This window comes from Homo sapiens, chromosome 4, assembly GCF_000001405.40.
Source record: "Homo sapiens chromosome 4, GRCh38.p14 Primary Assembly".
Lineage (NCBI taxonomy): Eukaryota > Metazoa > Chordata > Mammalia > Primates > Hominidae > Homo > Homo sapiens.
In genome coordinates, this window is record NC_000004.12 from 82,990,731 (window position 1) to 83,011,715 (window position 20,985).

A 20,985-nucleotide genomic window follows, 5' to 3' on the forward strand; every position below is an offset into this window, starting at 1 on the left:
CCTCCGCCTCCCAAAGTGCTAGGATTACAGGCGTGAGCCACCGCGCCCAGCCAGGGAACCCAAATCTTTTATAACGGGCCAAAGCAAACCTGCTCTTTGCCCAGAGGGAGATATTATCTTTATTATACTGGACAATAAGCAAATCTGCCCTTTGCTACAGAGGGAGATGCTATATCATCCCAGGCTGTTTGCTATACACATATCCTTGAAAAGATCATTTAAAACAAAAGGGCTGTCACTGCCTCACTGGTAAGAGGTACAGAAATGCAAGGACCCATGAAGAAGTCAGGTGCAATGGCGTGCACCTGTAGTCCCAGCTATTCAGGAGGATGAGATGGGAGGATCGCTTGAGGCCAGAAGTTCAAGGCTGCAGTGCACCACTGTACTCCAGCCTGGGCAACACAGTGACAGCCTGTCTCTTAAGAAAAAAAAAAAAAAAAAAAAAGACCCATGGAAAATTGTCTCCCAAATAACTATATCTTATTTATGTTAGCAATGTTGTGCACTTTAAGTATATAGGTCTTATACATATTTTGTTAAATTTATCCTTAAGTATTTCATGTTTTTTGATGCTGTTATAAATGGCATTTTCCATTTTCCAATTGTTTATGAGTATGTACAAATAAAACTGATTTTTGTATATTGTCCATGTATCCTACAACCTAGCTAAACTCACTTATTAATTCTGATAGCTTTTCAGTATAGATGACTTAAGATTTTCTATAAATACAGTCCATGTTGTCTGTAACATCTGTATTTCCTCCTTTCCAATCTACATGTTTTATATTTCTTTTCCCTTACTACACTTGCTAGGACCTCCAGGAAAATGTTGACTAAAAGTGGTGACAGCAGACATATTTGCCCTGTTCCTAATCTTATCTGTTAGTTATAGGTTTCCATAGATTTTCTTTACCAGGTTGAGAAAGTTTACGTCTTTCCCAATTTGATGAGGTTTTTTAAAAAATCATAAAAGGATGTTTAATTCTATCATATGCTTTTTCTGCAACTAGTGAGAAAATCGTATGGCTTTTCTTTTTTTAATCTGTGAATTATATTAATTTTTGATTAAATTAATTTTGCATTCCTGATATGAACCCCACTTGATCATGTCTTATAATTTGTATATATTGCTAAATTATATTTTGCTAATATTTTGTTAAACATTTTTGTTATGTTAATGAGGGATATTGATCTGTAGTTTTCTTTTCATTTTATAGTGTCTGCCTGGAGATAATGCTAGCCTAATAAAATGAATTGGAGTGTGTTCTTATTTTTCAGGAAAAGTTTGCACAGAATCGTCTCTATTTCCTCCTTAAATATTTGCTAAAATTCACCAGTAAAGCCATCTAGATATAAAGCTTCCTTGTGGGAAGGTTTTTAACTATAAATTCATTTCCTTTAGCAGATGTAGGGCGATTCAGATTATCTTTCTTCCCGAGTAACCTGGGATATTTGATAGTTTGTGTCTTTGAAGGAATTTGCCTATTTCCTCTAAGCTGCCAAATGTAGTAGCACAAAGTTACATGTAATATTCTTTTAATATCTGCAGGATCTGTAGAAATGTCCTCTCTTCATTCCTCGTAGTGGTAAACTGTCTTCTCTCCTTTTATTCTTGATTAGCTAGAGATTATCCATTTTATTGACCTTTACAAAGAACCATTTTTGGACCGGGCATGGTGGCTCACACCTGTAATCTCAGAACTTTTGAGAGGTCAAGATGGCTCACTTGTGGCCATGGGTTTGAGACCAGTCGGGACAACATATCAAGACCCCATCTCAACAAAATAAAGATAAAAATTAGCTGGGTGTGGTAGGGCCTGCTTGTAGTCCTAGCTCACACTCCCTTGACTTGGAGGCTGTAGCAAGCAAACCACGACACAGTGGCGTGAACACGACTCACTGAAGCGTCGAATTCCCAGGCTCAAGCAATCCTCCTGCCTCAGCCCCGCAAGTAGCTGGGACTAGAGGCATGCACCACGATGCCTGGCTTTTGTTTTGTAAAAATGAGGTGTCCCCGGCCAGGCGTGGTGGCTCACGCCTGTAATCCCAGCACTTTGGGAGGCCAAGGTGGGTGGATCACGAGGTCAGGAGATTGAGACCATCCTGGTTAACACGGTGAAACCCCGTCTCTACTAAAAATACAAAAAATTAGCCGGGCATGGTAGCAGGTGCCTGTAGTCCCAGCTACTCGGGAGGCTGAGGCAGGAGAATGGCGTGAACCCAGGAGGCGGAGCTTGCAGTGAGCTGAGATCACGCCACTGCACTCCAGCCTGGGTGACAAAGCGAGACTCTGTCTCAGAAAAAAAAAAAAAAAAAGAAATGAGGTTTTACCACGTTGCCTAGGCTGGTCTCAAACTCCTGAGCTCAAGTGATCTGCCCAGCTTGGCCTCTCAGCATGCACCACTGTGCCTGGCCCATTTTTTATTTAAATTAACTATTATCTTTACCTCTTTGCTTCTGTTTGATTTGTTCTTCTTTTTCTAGAATCTTTTTTTTTTTTTTTGAGATGGAGTTTCACTCTTGTTGCCCAGGCTGAAGTGCAATGGTGCAATCTTGGCTCACTGCAACCTCCGCCACCTGGGTTCAAGCGGTTCTCCTGCCTCAGCCTCCCAAGTAGCTGGGATTATAGGCATGCGCCACCACCCCTGGCTAATTTTTTGTATTTTTAGTAGAGACAGGGTTTCTCCATGTTGGTCAAGCTGGTCTCAAACTCCAGACCTCAGGTGATCCGCCTGCCTCGGCCTCCCAAAGTGCTGGGATCACAGCGGTGAGCCACCGCGCCCGGCTAGAATCTTAAGATGGAAACACAGATCAGGGTTCACCAAAATACTAAATGATGCCCATGGTCTTTATATATTGCTTCCTACCTAAAAATGGTTTTTTGTTTGTTTCTTTGTTTGTTTTTGAGACAGTGCCTCACTCTGTCACCCAGGCTGGAGTGCAGTGGTGTGATCTTGGCTCACTTCAACCTCTGCTTCCCAGGTTCAAGCAACTCTCCTGCCTCAGCCTCCCAAGTAGCTGGGATTAGAGGCGCATGCCACCATGCCGGCTACTTTTGTATTTTTAGCAGAGATGGGGTTGCACCATGTTGGTCAGGCTGGTCTTGAACTTCTGATCTCAACTGATCCACCTGCCTCAGCATCCCAAAGTGCTGGGATTACAGGCATGAGCCACTACGCCTGGCCTGATATTTACATTTTTAAATGGTTGGGGCAAGGGGGAATATGACAGACTTACATGACTTACAAAGCCTCCAATATTTGCTACCTGGAGCTTTACACAAAAAGTCTGTCAACTCCTGGTTTAAATGATTGATTGATTTTAAAACTTTCTTCTTTTTTACAGTAAGCCTTTAATATGAAAACTTTTCCCCAAAGCTCTTTAGATGTATTCCATTAATTTCAATACGTTTTTATTATCATTCACTTCAAATGTTTTCTAATATTGCTTGTGATTTTACCTGACACATGGATAATAAAGAAGTGTGCCATTTAATTCCCAAGCACTTGGAGATTTTCTAGCTATGCTATTATTATTGATTACTAATTTAATTATAGTATTGTCAGAGAACATAATACTCTTTAACATTCTCATCATTTGAAATTAGAGACTTATTTTTTGACTCAGTATACGGTCTCTCTTGGTGAATCCTCCTTGTGCATTTTAAAAGAATTTTTTTTTTTTTGAGACAGAGTCTTGCCCTGTCACCCATGCTGGAGTGCAGTGGCGCAATCTGGGCTCACTGCAACCTCCACCTCCCCGGTTCAAGCAATTCCCCTGCCTCAGCCTCCCAAGTAGCTGGGATTACAGGTGCATGGCACCACGCCCAGTTAATTTTTTTGTATTTTTAGTAGAGACAGGGTTTCACCATGTTGGCCAGACTGGTCTCGAACTCCTGACCTTAGGCAATCCGCCCTCCTTGGCCTCCCGAAGTGCTGGGATTACAGGCATGAGCCACCTTGCCCAGCCAAGAACATTTTTTTTAATAGTTGCTGAGGGTAGTATTCTATTTATGTCAGTTAGCAAAAGCTGGTTGATAGAGTTATTCAGATCTTTGATATCCTTAATAAATTTTTAGGGTGTTAAAATCCCCAAATATGGTGGTGGATTTGTTTACGTCTCCCCTTCTGCACATTTTTGCTTCATATATTTTGAAGTTCTGTTGTCAGAAGAACATACGTTTTTACCTGTCCTGTTAAAAGAGACTGAGAATTATAGGAGTGGGACTCTCCCTTTGAACTAGGAGCAAAGTCCAAACTTCTAACAAGAAAAGGTCTGGGCCAGGTTCAGTGGCTCACACCTGTAATCCCAACACTCTGGGAGGCCAAGGCAAGAGGACTGCTTAAGTCCAGGAGTTGGAGACCAGCCTGGGCACAACATGGTAAGACCTTCTTCTCTACAAAAAAATAATTTTTAAAAATTAGCCAGGCGTGGTGGGGCATGTCTAAAGTCCCAGCTACTCGGGAGGCTGAGACAGGAGGAAAGTGTAATCTCAGAAGTTTGAAGCTGCAGTGAGGTATGATAGTGCCACTGCACTCTGGCCTGGGTGACTGGGTAAGATCCTGTCTCTGGGGGGAAAAAAATTAATTTAATTTAATTTTAATTTATTTTTAATTTAAATTTAATTTTTTTTTAAAAAAGGTCTGATTGGTTTGGCCAGAGTCTATGTAATAGACAGAGACTATTCCAGAGCCAGGATAGCTCATAAACTACAGAACAGAATATAGATGACTGTCTTATGATTACACATCCTTATCTCTTTTTTTTTTTTTTTTTTTTTTTTGGGATGGAGTCTCGCTCTGTCACCCAGGCTGGAGTGTAGTGGCACAATCTCAGTTCACTGCAACCTCTGCCTCCAGGGTTCAAGCAATTCTCCTGCCTCTGCCTCCCAAGTAGCTGGGACTACAGGTGCGTGCCACCACACCCGGCTAATTTTTTGTATTTTTAGTAAAGGCAGGGTTTTACCATGTTAGCCAGGCTGGTCTACATGTCCTGACCTCGTGATCCACCCACCCGCCTCGGTCTCCCAAAGTGCTGGGATTACAGGCGTCAGCCTCTACTCCTGGCCTCCCTGTTTGTTTCAATCAGGGTCACATGCAGGGCATGGTGGCCTATGCTAAAAGAAAGTTTCAGGACCAGGCACGGTGGCTCACACCTGTAATCCCAGCACTTTGGGAGGCCAAGGTGGGTGGATCACCTGAGGTCAGGAGTTCAAGACCAGCCTGAGCAACATGGAGAAACCCCGTCTCTACTAAAAATACAAAATTAGCTGGGCGTGGTGGCTCATGCCTGTAATCCCAGCTACTCGGGAGGCTGAGGCAGGAGAATTGCTTGAACCCGGGAGGCGGAGGTTGCGGTGAGCCGAAATCATGAGCAAAACTCCATCTCAAAAAAAAAGAGAAAGTTTCAGAAGGACTGGGCATGGCAGGAAAGGGTTTGTCCACACAGTTACATGATCCATCATGCTATTTTATCTCTTAGGAATGGAAGCCATGTACTAGCACATGCAACCTCATCGTCACTATGTTGAAGGCCACTCCAAGAAAAGAGAGGCTCTTCATAGGCTAAAAGAGCTGAGAAGCTTTAGTTCACCTCATCTGTAGAAGGCGTTACCTGTGAAGGTATGGTAGAGAAAGAATCCAGAACATACAATGCATTCCCCTATGCTTCCAATATTTATTTATTTATTTTTTGAGACAGAGTCTCACTCTGTCGCCCAGGCTGGAATGCAGTGGCATGATCTCAGCTCACTGCAACCTCTGCCTCCCGGGTTCAAGAGATTCTCCTGTCTCAGCCTCCCAAGTATCTGGGACTACGAGCATGTGCTACCATGCCTGGCTAATTTTTGTATTTTTAGTAGAGATGGGGTTTCACCATGTTGGCCAGGCTGGTCTCGAACTCTTGACCTCATGATCCACCCATCTCAGCCTCCCAAAGTGCTGGAATTACAGGCTTGAGCCACCACACCCAGCCTCTTCCAATATTTTTAGTTCATAAAATAAAAGTTCTAAAGGCAAAGTATGTTCTAGAAGCCAATAAAATGAGCTTTCTCCCAACACAGTTGAATGGTTAAATGGTTTAAGTCCGGTGAGAGTTAAACAGTCACCCATTTAGAAAAGTCTGATTTGTACATTTGTCTTAATGTATTAGGGAAAAAAAAAAGTATCTAAAATAGGACCGCCATCCTCATCTCCACTGGCCCAGGTACTCTATCCCATTACCCTGGCATTTCCATCACAGCATCTATCACAATCAGAAGTATCTTGTTTATTTGTTTATACTTTTATTGTCCCTCCTCAACTTCTTTAGAATGCAAAGCCACACAAAGACAGGAACATATTTGTCTTCATCACTACTGAACCCCCATCCCCTGTGCCTATAACAGAGCTGGCAAATAATATTTACTGTGTATAAATCTGAACAATGAATAAAGTAATCATAGAGAAGGAGTGTCACCTAAACTGTAGAATTATTTACATTGGACTTTGAAAATAACTTTTGTCAATTTGAGTAGGATAGGTTTATATAATGCTCTGGGACTTCACAACACTTTAAATAAAATAAACCCATATTGTCATAAGGTACACTAACAAACTGAGAAACTCCTTTCAAATAAGTTTTTAATACTCAAATTTAGCTTTTAACCAATATCCTCTGCAATTACATTCCATCTTTAAATCTACAAGGTTCTATTAGTTTCTAACTAGCTTATACTTTTTATCAGTCATTTAATTAATAAAATACTTCTTGCTTCCTAACTTTGAGGAGGGGATTATGGGAAATTAATCAAAGACCTTGCCCTCAAAGAGCCTAGAAATAAATAGATGACTAACATGATCACAGTTATATTTTGGGAGGATTAACCTCATCTGAGGATTTTGGAGGCAGGGAGACCAGTTGGAAGGCTATTGTAGTAATTAGTTCAAGATACAGATAAATGCTAGATATGATTTAGGATGGTGACAATAAAAAAGAAGTGAATTCAATACAAAATAAAAAATAATGTAATCCCAGCACTTTGGGAGGCCAAGGAGGGCGGATCACCTGAGGTCAGGAGTTTGAGACCAGCCTGGCCAACATGGTGAAACCCTGTCTCTGCAAAAATACAAAAAAATTAGCCGGGCATGGTGGTGCGCTCCTATAATCCCAGCTACTTGAGAGGCTGAGGCAGGAGAATCACTTGAACTCAGGAGGCAGAGGTTGCAGTGAACCAAGATTGCACCACTGCACTCCAGCCTGGGCAAGAAGAGTGAAACTCCATCTCAAAAAAAAAAAATAATAATATATATATAATAATATATATATATACACACACGTATATATATATATACACGTATATATATATATACTAAATGACATATCTGCTTTTACATTTTATACACTACTATTGCAGAAACACTGTTCTTTTCTAGTTACAGAAGGAGAAAAATCTAGGTGAACAGCTGTTTTCATTCTTGTACATAAAGTACTGACATACCACCACATTACAGATGAGCAAGTAATTTTTGAGATATTTAAAAATAAATAATCTGGGACAGGTGCAGTGGCTCATGCCTGTAATCCCAGCACTTTGGGAGGCTGAGGCGGACAGATCACGAGGTCAGGAGTTCAAGAACGGCCTGGTCAACATAGTGAAACCCCGTCTCTACTAAAACTACAAAAATTAGCCGGGCATGGTGCTACATGCCTGTAGTCCTGGCTACTCAGGAGGCTGAGGCAGAAGAATTGCTTGAACCCAGGAGGTGGAGGTTGCAGTAAGCCGAGATAGCAGCTCCAACTCGGGCGACGGTGCGAGACTCCGTCAGAGAAAGAAAAGAAAGAAAGGAAGGAAGAGAGGGAGGGAAAGAAAAGAGAGAAAGAAAAGAGAGAAAGAGAAGAGAGAAAGAAGAGAAAGAAACAGAGAAAGAAAAAGAAAGAGAAAGAAAGAAAGAATCTGAGTGTTTAGTTGATCTTTGAACAGGGTCCACTTACACGCATTTTTTTTCCATAAATATATTAAATATTTTTTGGAAATTTGTGGCAATTTGAAAAAACTCACTGATGAACCATGTCACCACCTAGAAATATCAAAAAAATTTAAGAAAAAGTTTGATATGTCATGAATGTATGAAACATATGTAAACATTGTGTTTTATAATTTACTACCATAAAATATATAAATTATAAAAAGTTACAATGTATAAAAACTTATCCACACAAACAAATTATATCATTTGCAGTGGAGAGAAATGTAAACAAAGATGCACTATTAAATCAAAACCACAAAAAAGTAACTGTAGTACATACTATACTATTGTAATAATATTGTAGCCACCTCCTGTTGCTACTGCTGTGAGCTCAAGTGTTGCCACTAATTGTCTGTTTCCACATGAGCAGTTCCTCCTTCCAGTAAATTGTGTATTGCAGTAAAAGGTGATCTCCCATATTTTTCATTATGTTTAATGCAATACTGTAAAACTTGAATAACACTAGGAGACCCATATGAAGTGCCACTAGTGATGCTAGAAGTGCTCCCAAGAAGCAGAGAAAAGTATGACATTACAAGTAAAAGTTTAACAGCTTGATAAGTACTGTACATTGAGGTCTACAGCTGCAGTTGCCCAACATTTCAAGATAAATGAATCCAGCGTAAAGACCATTATAAAAAAAGAAATTTGTTAAGCCATCACTGCAGTTACACCAGCAGATACGAAAACCTTGCACTTTTAGCAAATTATTTTTTTGTCTAATATTGAAAATGCAGCCTTTGGCCAGGTGTGGCCAAAGTGCTGGGATGTGGCTCATGCCTATAATCCCAGCACTTTGGGAGGCTGAGGCAGGCAGATCACTTGAGGTCAGGAGTTTAAGACCAGCCTGGCCAATATGGTGAAACCCTGTCTCTACCAAAAAATACAAAAATTAGCTGTGCACGGTGGTACACGCCTGTGGTCCCAGCTACTTGGGAGGCAGAGGTGGGACAATAGCTTGAAACCGGGAGGCAGAGGCTACAGTGAGCTGAGATCGCACCACTGCACTCCAGCCTAGGTGACAGGGCGAGACTCTGTCTCAAAAAAAAAAAAAAAAAAGGCAAGAAAACAGGAGAAGCAGCTTCCAGTGACCAAGAATTCCCAGGTGCCATTAAGAAAATCATTGAGGAGAATGGATATCTGCCCAAACAGGTTTTTTGTTTTGTTGTTTCTTGAGACAGGGTCTCACTCTGTCACCCAGACTGGAGTGCAGTAGCATAATCAGAGCTCACTGCAGCCTCGACCTCCTGGGCTCAAGTGATCCTCACACCTTAGCCTCCTGAATAGCTGGGACCACAGGCGCATGCCATCACACCTGGCTAAATTTTTTAAATTTTTATAGAGATAGGGTCTCATTACGTTGCCCAGGCTGGTCTCGAACTCCTGGGCTCAAGTGATCCTCCTGCCTCAGCTCTCCAAAGTGCTGGGATTACAGGTATGAGCCACCATGCCCAGCCCAAACAGGCTTTCAATGCAGATGAAAGTGCCTTATTCTGGAAAAGAATGCCATAAAAGACATTTATTAGTGAGGCACAAAAGGGAGCACCAGAATTTTTAAGGCATGAAGGGATAGGCCAACTCTATTGTTTTGTGCAAATGTAGTTGGGTTTATGATCAGAACTGCCCTTATCTATAAAGCTGCTAAACCCTGAGCCTTGAAGGGAAAGGATAAACACCAGCTGCCACTCTTCCAAATGTATAACAAGAAGGCCTGGACAATGAGAACTCTTTTTCTGGATTGGGTCCATCAGTGTTTTGTCCTTGAAGACATGAAGTACCTTGACAGTAAGGAACTGCCTTTTAAAATTCCTTTGATATTGGACAATGCTCCCAGCCACTCAGAACCCCATGTTTTCAACACTGAAGGCATCAACATGGTCTGCTTGCCCCCAAATACAGCATCTTTAATTTGGCCTTTAAAAGCCCTTTAAGGCTCATTATACATGGTACTCTATGGAATGAACATCAAGTCTATAGAAGAGAACCCCGCTGAGAGAACATCATGAAAATCAGAAAGGATTACACCACTGAAGATGCCATCATTGTTATAGACAAAGCCATGAAAGCCATCAAGCCCAAAGCAATAAATTCTTTTTTTTTTTTTGGAGATAGAGTCCCAGGGTGAAGTGCAGTGGCGCAATCTTGATCTCAGCTCACTGCAACCTCTGCCTCCCAGGTTCAAGCAATTCTCCTGCCTCAGCCTCCCAAATAGCTGGGATCAAAGGCACGCGCCACCACGCCCAGCTAATTTTTGTATTTTTAGGAGAGATGGGGTTCTGCCATGTTGGCCAGGCTGGTCTCAAACTCCTAACCTCAGGTGATCTGCCCACCTTGGCCTCCCAAAGTGCTGGGATTATAGGCATGAGCCACCAAGCCCAGCCCAAAAGCAATAAATTCTTACAGAGAAAACTGTGTCTAGACATTGTGCATGATTTCATAGGATTTATGACATAACCAATGAAGAAAATCATGAAATAAATTGTGGATATGACAAAAATGGTGGGAGGTGAAGGGTTTCAAGATATGCATCTTGGGTAAGGCACACTGGCTCATGACTGTAATCCCAACACTTTGGGAGGCCAAGGTGAGGGGATCACTTGAGCCCCGCAGTTTGAGTAACCTGGGCAACCTAGTGAGATCCCATCTCTACAAAAAATTTAAAAGTTAGCCAGGTGTGGTGGTGTGCACCTGTAGTCCCAGCTACTCAGGAGGCTCAGGTGGAAGGATCACTTGAGCCCAGGAGGTCAAGGATGCGGTGAGCTATGATCACACCACCGCACTCCAGCCTGAGCAGGAGTGAAATCCTGTCAAAAAGAAAAGAAAAAGAAGCCGGGCGCAGTGGCTCACGCCTGTAATCCCAGCACCTTGGGAGGCCGAGGCAGGCAGATCACGAGGTCAGGAGATCAAGAGCATCCTGGCAAACATGGTGAAACCCCGTCTCTACTAAAAATACAAAAAAAAATTAGCTGGGCGTGGTGGCGGGCGCCTGTTGTCCCAGCTACCAGGGAGGCTGAGGCAGGAGAATGGCATGAACCCGGGAGGCAGAGCTTGCAGTGAGCGAAGATCGCACCACTGCACTCCAGCCTGGGCGACAGAGCAAGACTCTGTCTCAAAAAAAAAAAAAGGATAGGAAGGAAGGAAGGAAGGAAGGAAGGAAGGAGGGAGGGAGGGAGGGAGGGAGGGAGGGAGGGAGGGAAGGAAGGAAGGAAGGAAGGAAGGAAGGAAGGAAGGAAGGAAGGAAGGGAGGGATCTTGGAGAAATTCAAGAGCTAACAGATACCATAGCAGAGGAATTAACAGGGGACAACTTGATGGAGATGAGTGCTTCCGAACTAGTGCCAGACAATGAGAAAGAAGATGTAGAAGAAGCACAGAAAACGAACTGACAGTAGACAATCGGCATTATTCAAGACTGCTTTTGAAATTTTTTATGACATGGACCCTTCTACGATACACACAATGAAGCTAAAGCAAACAGTGAAAAAAAGCTTGCTACCACAGAGAAATATTTTTAGAGAAATCAAGCATAGTGGTGCATGCCTTTAATCCCAGCTACTTGGGAGACTGAGGCATGAGGATCGCCTAAGCCCAGGTGGAGTTCAAGACCAGCAACATAGCGAGACCTCACCTCTAAAAAAAAAGCAAGGGTGAGGGAGGAAGGAAGGAAGGAGGGAAGGAAGGAGGGATAGAAAGGAGGGAGGGAGGGAGGAGGGGAGGGAAGGAGGAAGGAGGGAGGAGGGAAGGAGGGAGGGAGGCAGGGGAAAAAAAGTTAGACAGAAATTACAATGTATTTCCATAAAGTTACATCAAGTGTGCCCACCTCTCCTGTCTCCTCATCTACCTCCTCCACCTCTTCTGCCTCTGCCACTCCAGACAGCAAGACCTACCGCTGCTCTTCCTCAGCCTCCTCAACATGAAGACAAGGATGAGGACCTTTATGATGATCCACTTCAGTTCATGAACAGTAACTATATTTTCTCCTCCTTACGGTTTTTGTAATAACATTTTTTCTCTAGCATACTTTATTGTAAGAATATGATATGTAATAAATATACAAAATATGTGTTAATCAACTATGTATGTTATCCGTAAGGCTTCTGGTCAACAATAGGCTATTAGTAGTTAAGTTTTTGGGGATTCAAACATTATATGCATATGTGGATATGACTGCTTGGGGTTGGTGTCCCTAATCCCCACATTGTTCAAGGGTCAACTGTATTTTTTGTACCTAGAGCTTACTACCAGCATTAACTGGTTAACTATACCACTTAGATTTAAGCTTTTTTTTGTGAGTGTGAGATGGAGTCTTGCTCTGTCACCCAGGTTGGAGTGCAGTGGCGTGATCTCCACTCACTGCAACCTCCGCCTCCCAAGTTCAAGTGATTCTCCCGCCTCAGCCTCCTGAGTAGCTGGGATTACAGACGTGTGCCACCACGCTTGGCTTATTTTTTGTATTTTTAGTAGACACAGGGTTTCACCATGTTGGCCAGGCTGGCCTTGAACTCCTGACCTCAATTGATCCGCCCAGCTCGGTCTCCCAAAGTGCTGGGATTACAGGTGTAAGCCACCTCGCCCGGCCAGATTTTAGCTTTTATTTCTAAAATAAAACATCAACAACTAAAAAACCAGTTATAGAACTATATTTCTCAAACTAAACTGGGAGCAGTAGACTATAAGCCATGAGTTCTGATGAAGTTTTGAAAGGTTTGTATTTCCCAGAGAAGACTGGTATGGCCCCTGCACAAGGACGACATGCAAATTTGTGAAGTGTTCCATGAAAAAAACAAATTAAAACAATAAATTTTTTCTGAGACAGAGTCTCACTCTGTTGCCCAGGCTGGAATGCAGTGGCGCAATCTTGGCTCACAGCAACCTCCACCTGGGGGCTCAAGTGATCCTCCCACCTCAGCCTCTGAAGTAGCTGGGACTACAGGTGTGCACCACCATGACTAGCTAATTTGTCTAGTTTTTCTAGAGACGGGGTCTCGCCATGTTGCCCAGGCTAGTCTCAAACACCTGAGCTCAAGCCATCCACCCACCTCGGCCTCACAGAGTGCTGGAATTACAGGCATGAGCTACTGCACCTGACCTAATTTTTTTTTAAAAAAGAAAGGTTTGTATTTTCATTTCAATAGTATTTTTATAAAGTACATTCTGGATCATCTGAATAACCACATCACATCCAAAATCAATGTACAAGAATTCAGATGAGCTAAAGAAAAAGGCACAAAATGGACTTATAAAATAAATGACATATTTATGCCAAATAAAAGCCAAACCACTTAACCTGAGATTTAAGAAAGAAAGACTTGCAGCATTCAAACACAGAAGAGTGGTGTAGAAATTGAGTCATCATAGGATATAGAGTATGTAGAAAACAGGCCGGGTGCGGTGGCTTATGCCTGTAATCCCAGCATTTTCAGAGGCTGAGGTGGACAGATTGCGAGGTCAGGAGTTTGAGACCAGCCTGGCCAATACAGTGACACCCCGTCTCTACTAAAAATACCAAAAAAATTAGCTGGGAGTGGTGGTGGGCACCTGTAGTCCCAGCTACCTGGGAGGCTGAGGCAGGAAAATCGCTTGAACCTGGGAGGCGGAGGTTGCAGTGAGCCAAGATCGCGCCACTGTACTCCAGCCTGGGTGACAGAGTGAGACTCCGTTGCAAAAAAAAAAAAAAAAAAGAAAGAAAGAAAGAAAAAGAAAACTGCACATCTGCGCTAGGACAGACCCTAGTATATTCACTATGGAAAGAAATACATTTTTGTTTTGTTTTGAGATAGTGTCTTGCTCTGTCGTCAGGCTAGAGTGCAATGCCAAGATCATGGCTCACTGCAGCCTCGGACACCTGGGCTCAAGTGATCCTCCCACCTCAGCCTCCCGAGTAGCGGGGACTACAGAACGAGCACAAGCCATCACACTCTGGCCAATTTTCTTTGTATTTGTTGTAGAGACAAGGTCTTGCTACGTTGCCCAGGCTGGTCTTGCACTCGTGGACTCAAGCTATCCTGCCACCTTGGCCTCCCAAGGTGCTGGGATTACAGGTGTGAGCCACTGTGCCTGACCCAAAGATTGTTTAAGCAAAACAACATCATCCATCACCCTAAGTTTAATTTTTTTTACATTGGTTTTACAGTTTTGTTTACATTAGATTTATAAATTTACTTTTTGTTTGTTTTTGAGACAGAGTCTGGCTCTGTCGCCCAGGCTGGAGTGCAGTGGCGCGATCTCAGCTCTCTGCAACCTCTGCCTCCCAGGTTCAAACAATTCTCCTGCCTCAGCCTCCCAAGTAGCTGGCATTACAGGCACCCACCACCATGCCCGGTTCATGTTTGTATTTTTTAGTAGAGACGAGGTTTTGCCATGTTGGGCAGGCTGGTCTCCAACTCCTGACCTCAGGTGATCCACCCACCTCGGCCTCCTGAAGTGCTAGGATTACAGGCATGAGCCACCGCACCTGGCCTATAAATTTACTTTTGATTTATACTTGGTTTTATATTTATATCTATCTTAAAAAGTAAATATCTTAATAAAATAAGTTAGGACAATACTGGAGATTCACAATTTTTTTTTCCTTTAAAAGGGAACTGTAAATTGCTATTATTAAAAAATCAAAAAACAGGGGCCGGGCACGGTGGCTCACGCCTGTAATCCCAACACTTTGGAGAACTAAGGCAGGCGGATCACTTGAGGCCAGGAGTTCCGGAACAGCCTGGCCAACATGGGGAAAGCCCATCTCTACAAAAATTATCTGGGCATGGTGGAGTGCACCTGTAGTCCCAGTTAGGAGGCTGAGCTACGAGAATCACTTGAACACGGGAGGCAGAGGTTGCAGTGAGCCAAGATCATGCCACTGCACTCCAGCCTCAGCGACAGAGCAAGACTCCATCTCAGAAAAAAAAAAAAAAAAAGTCAAAAAATAGATGCTGGCGAGGCCGTGGGAACACGTATACACTGTTGGTGAAAATGTAAATTAGTTCAGCTGTAGAAAGCATCTTAGTGATTTCTAAAAGAATTTGACCATTTGACCCAGCAATCACATTACTGGGTACATATCTAAAAGAAAACAAATGTTTATGCCAGAAAGACACATGCACCCACATGGTCATCGCAGCACTACTCACAAGAGCAAAGACATGGAAACAAGCTGGGTGCCCATCAGTGGTGATTGGATAAGGAAAATGTGGTACATATACACTATGAAATACTACGTAGCCATAAAAAAAGAAAGAAACCGTGTCCTTTGAAGCAACATGGATGCAGCTGGAGGCCATTATCCTAAGCAAATTAACACAGAAACAGAAAACTAAATACCGCATATTCTCACTTATAAGTGGGAGCTAAACACTAGGTACTTATGAACATAAAGATGGCAACAATGGAAACTGGGGACTACTGGGGACGTAGGGAGGGGATCAATGGTTGAAAAACTATTGGCTGGGTGCAGTGGCTCACGCCTGTAATCCCAGGACTTTGGGAGGCTGAGGTGGGCGGACCATGAGGTCAGGAGAGCAGTATCATCCTGGCTAACACGGTGAAACCCCATCTGAACTAAAAATACAAAAAATTAGCCAGACATGCTGGCATGCGCCTGTAGTCCCAGCTACTCGGGAGGCTGAGGCAGGAGAATCGCTTGGACCTGGCAGGCAGAAGTTGCAGTGAGCCAAGATTGCACCACTGCACTTCAGCCTGAGTGACAGAGCGAGACTCCGTCTCAAAAAAAAAAAAAAAGAAAAAAAAAAAGAAAAACTATTGGATACTATGCTCGGTGCCTGGGTGACAGGACCATTCATACTCCAAACCTCAGCATCATGCAATAATACCCAGGTAACAAACCTGCACATGTATGCCTTGAATCTAAAATAAAAGCTGAAAAAAAAAGGTGAATTCCAAATTAGTCACATACCTTTAAAGTCTATGTTCAAGTATATAGTATTTAAATTTGAGCTTCTACCACTTATATTTAAATGTATTATGAAGATCTGCTGCACTACTCCCATTCTATTTAGGTGAGCTTCCTTAACTTTGTAACTTACTTTCCATAAAGTCTTTGCTACATGATAATTACATGAATTTCACAATGTATTTCAAAGGGTGTGAATTAACAACATAATAAAAAGAAATGGGCCAGGCGTGATGGCTCACATCGGTAATCCTAGTACTTTGGGAGGCTGAGGTTGGTGGATAACCTGAGGTCAGGAGTTTGAGACCAGCCTGGCCAACATGGTCAAACCCCGTCTCTACTAAAAATACAAAAAGTAGCCAGGCATGGTGGCGGGCACCTGTAGTCCCAGCTACTCGAGAGGCCGAGGCAAGAGAATCGCTTGAACCCGGGAGGTGGAGGCTGCAGTGAGCGGAGATCACACCACTACACTCCAGCCTGGGCAACAGAGTGAAACTCCGTCTCAAAAAACAAATAAATACATAAAAATAAATAAATAAATAAAAAGAAATTATATAACTGAGTGAAATAACAAATAAATGCTATTCATTTATTCACATACTCAATGAATAGGGTTATGTACCAAGGGATAGGCATTGTACCCGAGAATGAGAATAAACCAGCCTATAAAACTGAACAAATATACAAAAATAAAAAAGGGAACTTTATATTATTCATGCTTATGATTAACATGATGGAAAAAACATGGAGATTCAAATCAGAAAAGACCTGTTTCCAAATCATGGCTCTCCTAGTTGCTTATCATGTAATCCAAGTCAATAATAACATCTCTGAGCTTCATTTACTTATAGGGTTACTGTGAAGATAGTTATGAGGTATGCTGTAACTCAAAGTTATTTTCCTGTTTATCTAAATTAGCTTCTCCTCCTGATTTCTCTGTGGTTTTACGGCATCCGATAGTCTACTAAATGGCCAGGCGTGGTGGCTAACGCCTGTAACCTCAACACTTTGGGAGGGTGAGGCAGGTAGATCGCCTGAGCTCAGGAGTTTGAGACCAGCCTGGCCAACATGGTGAAACCCTGTCTCTACCAAAAATACAAAAAATTAACCGAGCGTGGGGGCCCAAGCCTGTGGTCCCAGCTACTCACCAGGCTAAGGTGGGATTATCACTTGAGCCTGGGAGGCGGAGGTTGCAGTGAGCTGAGATCCACTGCACCCTAACCTGGGTGACAGAGTGAGAACCCATCTCATTTAAAAAAAAAAAAATTCTATCAAACACCAGGGCTTACAATTGTATTATCTTTGACATCTCTCTTTCCATAGAAATATTAATCTGTCATATATCATGCAGATTACACCTTCACCATGACTCTATCCTCCTGTAACCAATTGTGTCTAAATCTCCAACTCCTGAAGCCTACTATGGTGTTTTTACCTCCATCTCCCCTTACCTACAATGCATTCTACATAAAAGCTACATGTACAAGATTTATCTTCTGAAGTATATCTCTGAGATTGTCATTATCCTACACTAAGTTACATTTTCTGTAACTCTTAAGGCCTTCTGCAGCAAGACCCCACTGAATTGATCCTTCCAACTTCACCTCCAGTGATTCTTAAATTGAAAGTTCCCTGAAGTAATGATATTGAGGTTATTTTATCCACTATCCCTAGCATACTATATGACACCTAATAGACACCCAATAATAATGTTTGAAAAAGTAGTGAAAATCGGCCGGGCGCAGTGGCTCACGCCTGTAATCCCAGCACTTTGGGAGGCCGAGGTGGGTGGATCACGAGGTCAGGAGATGGAGACCTTCCTGGCTAACATGGTGAAACCCCGTCTCTACTAAAAATACAAATAAAATTAGCCCGGCGTGGTGGCGGGCGCCTGTAGTCCCAGCTACTCAGGGGGCTGAGGCAGGAGAATGGCGTGAACCCAGGACGCGGAGCTTGCAGGGAGCCAAGATCGCGCCACTGCACTCTAGCCTGCGCCACTGCACTCTAGCCTGGGCGACAGAGTGAAACTCTGCCTTGGAAAAAAATAAAGAAAAAGTAGTGAAAATCTATAATACTCTTCCCCCAAAAAATGAACACTGGACTATCTCTGGTGGTATAATTCTTGCTTCATTTCTAACACACTTTTAATTATTAATACACAATTGTTCTAACCAGGACAATCTGAAAACTGGTCTTTAAAGACAATCACAAAGAATCACAAAGAGACAATAGCCCTCTGTGATTAAAAGAAAGCCAATGAAAAAGCTTTTTAATCTCCCTATTTTAATTATTTTTAAAATTCTTAGTCTTACTACTGAGTCAGCAGCTATAAGGCATGGGTCAAATAACTGCAACATAAAAACTGTAATTTTAAAAAGACAAAACCAAATACCTACTGAATAATACAGCATCAGACAAATTATTTTTAAAAAATAATCATTATCGTCATCATTAAACCTTCTGAGTACCTCTAAGGTATTTCTCCTAAAAATTTTTTTGGGTCTCTTATTCTTCTAGTAAGTGAAAGCCAGACCTACAAACTATACACACCTATTCACACAAAATATTTCCCCTCTAAGTAAACTACAAAATTTGTGATATATGACACACTATGGCACAGTGTGTTACATATACTCTTTGTAGACAATTTGAATAAGGAAATAATATCACATATACTCTCTGTAGACAATTTGAATACGGAAATTTAGGGCTAATCATAAACATTACCCATGGGCATTCCTCAATACTAATCCTTCTGTTCATTATACACTCAATGTCATTGACCCAAAAAAGCTGGGGGAAAAGCATAGGGTCCAAATTAATGTATAAAAATTTTTTTGCCCAGCCTAAAAATTTGATTCACATGTAACTTTTCTGTAACACTAGTGTTGTGTGCAAGGAGACAGACTCCTTACGGATCTTTCAGCATAACCTAAAACTTAACATGGGTCTTCAGATAACCTAATAAAACAGTGGCTGTTATAGTCAATCAATCCAGCTCTCTAAACAAAGGGCTAGGCTAATCACTCCAGCATTTAGTGATTTAGAAATAACAGAGGTCTCAATTTATTTTTCCCAACTTAATGTACTCACAACAAATGCTTGCATCACCCCATCGCAACTCTCCTTCTTAACAATGAAGGTAAAACTCAGGACCAAAAGAGAGCTCCTAGAGCTGTATTTCATTTGCATTATAAAATCTACAGCAAAATTTTTCATAACTTTACTCTCTGAATTCATGAACTAGGTTGGCGGGGGCAGGAGGGTGAGTATAGAGAAGAACTTCCCTGAAAAGCATGAGTATAAAATATAACTGAGAGTATCTCAATTGTTATATGCCAAATGGCAGGGGCAAAGAGGTTAGTTACTCTAAGGATAACAGAGCATTAAAAATTTTTTTTCTAATTCTTACAAAACTGGTCCCTATTCTATAAAATGTGAACATCCACAACCCAACAAGTTACAGACTAGGATCTAAGACACAGATCTTAAATGCAGATAAAATGCCAATGCTCTGCCTCCCTAAAGAAACGTACAACCCCAAGAACTGCTGAACACCATCAAAGCAACACCCGCCAGAGTGGCTGTTTTAAACATTATATCAGGAAATCATGATAAGTGCTAGCGGTTCCTCTAGGCCTCAGCAGCAGCCTTAGGTATAAGAGCAAACTGGAGCCCTCTTAACACTCAAAGAATAATGTTGATGTCATGACGAGGCTACTGATTCTTCGCACTCCGGACAAGTCATTCCTTGATCCACCGCGCAATTCTTTCCCCACCCACCCCCATCCCCCCAAATAAAGAGATCTCCGGACAGAGAAGCCCTCGGGTACCCCATCCTCCTCTACCTCCAGCGGCTGCCGCTTTCTCCTCCCTCGGGCTCCGAGGTAGGGGCTCCAGAAGGTCCTGGGCAATCCCGAGCCCCGGCGGGGCTTGTTTTGCCCGTGCACGATAGCTCTGGCCAGCAGCTTCCTTTCCCAGTTTGTCCAAACTGGAGCGCTCCAGGGTACCCGGGGACCGAGAAGGGAGCCGGGGTGGCGACGTCGCCGTCGCCGCCGCCTCTGGTATGTCAGGGGCCGGGATTGTATTTCGAAAGATCCGCCATTTTCACCTCGTCATCACCATCACAGCTCAGCAGCTTCCCCGACAGCCGGAGCCCGGGCCGCCGCCGCCGCCGCCACCACCAGTAACCTCCCCCTTCCTCCTCCTCCCCTCCCCGCCCGCCCCACCCGGGAGGCGCACACCCACATATCCGGGGAAGCCTCCCGCCGCCCCGCCAACCTTCAAACGCACAAGGGCCGTGCAAGTGCACACGGGCTACGCCGAGACCTTTCACCCCCGGGCGGAGCACGGGCCCCCGCAGGGACGCCAAAGGAAGTCGCGCCACCTGCGGGGTCCCAAGTCCGGCATATTTTTGTTTGCAAGACCAAAAGCCATGCGGAGGGTGGCATAAGGACAATAAAGAACCCAAACTCTTTCATTTTCAGAGCAGCAACTTGAGAGAGATGGTGGAATGCGTTTCATTCACTGTGGCTATCTCAGGCACTAAAAACACTGTGAAAGACCTTTAATGTCATTCACCAACTTTGACATTTTACCCCACCCGCAGAACTACTTTGACAGGATGAGCTATTTCCATATGCATGTTCGACCTTTGACACCTTTGTCAATTACAGGCAGCAATCCTCATGCAGATGAAGTGGTCAAAATATCTAATTTAAAAAAATAAAGTTCTGAGCTATCTTCCTCTCCAACTTAATTTATCTGGTCATTTCTGTCCATGAACACTGCGACTTCCAATCTGTCATCGGTTTAAGACGTCAAAGCGCAACTAGATTTGAAATGATTGAACTAATTGTAGAAACATTCATGAATGATCGATTTCTAAAATATTGAAAATATAACTCTTAGCTAAAATTATTTGCCAAATGTTTTTTTAGGATCTAAGTCATCAAATTAAAAAAAAACCATCTGCTGCTGATATATTTGTTCTGTACAGTAAAAATAAACAGCTTGCTTCAGAACAAGATCCTAGAGCTACCTACTAGGTAGGTAAGAGTTACCAGCTCTTGTCATCAGT

General features: G+C 42.8%; 1 protein-coding gene and 1 pseudogene across 10 annotated transcripts in view, besides 2 other annotated features; one reads left to right on the top strand and one right to left on the bottom strand.

Annotated features, from left to right (window-relative positions):
- LIN54 (lin-54 DREAM MuvB core complex component) overlaps positions 1-20,985 on the bottom strand; it is an 88,339-nt gene that overhangs the window by 66,128 nt on the left and 1,226 nt on the right. For 5 of the 10 annotated variants that reach the window (NR_110254.2, NR_110253.2, NM_001115008.3 and 2 more), the window contains exon 1: positions 19,754-20,093. The exons of 3 other annotated variants lie outside the window; for them this stretch is intronic. The gene's annotated coding sequence lies outside the window, so the exon portion shown is untranslated. 10 annotated transcript variants of the gene reach the window in all.
- Positions 12,682-12,787, top strand: RNU6-615P (RNA, U6 small nuclear 615, pseudogene; annotated as a pseudogene).
- Positions 19,933-20,032: an enhancer, noted in NCBI's record as "active region_21668". NCBI's record gives its function as "activates an Ori minimal core promoter by ATAC-STARR-seq in GM12878 lymphoblastoid cells {active_cell/tissue: GM12878}" and the evidence as "EXISTENCE:reporter gene assay evidence [ECO:0000049][PMID:35858748]".
- Positions 20,103-20,182: a silencer, noted in NCBI's record as "silent region_15537". NCBI's record gives its function as "represses an Ori minimal core promoter by ATAC-STARR-seq in GM12878 lymphoblastoid cells {active_cell/tissue: GM12878}" and the evidence as "EXISTENCE:reporter gene assay evidence [ECO:0000049][PMID:35858748]".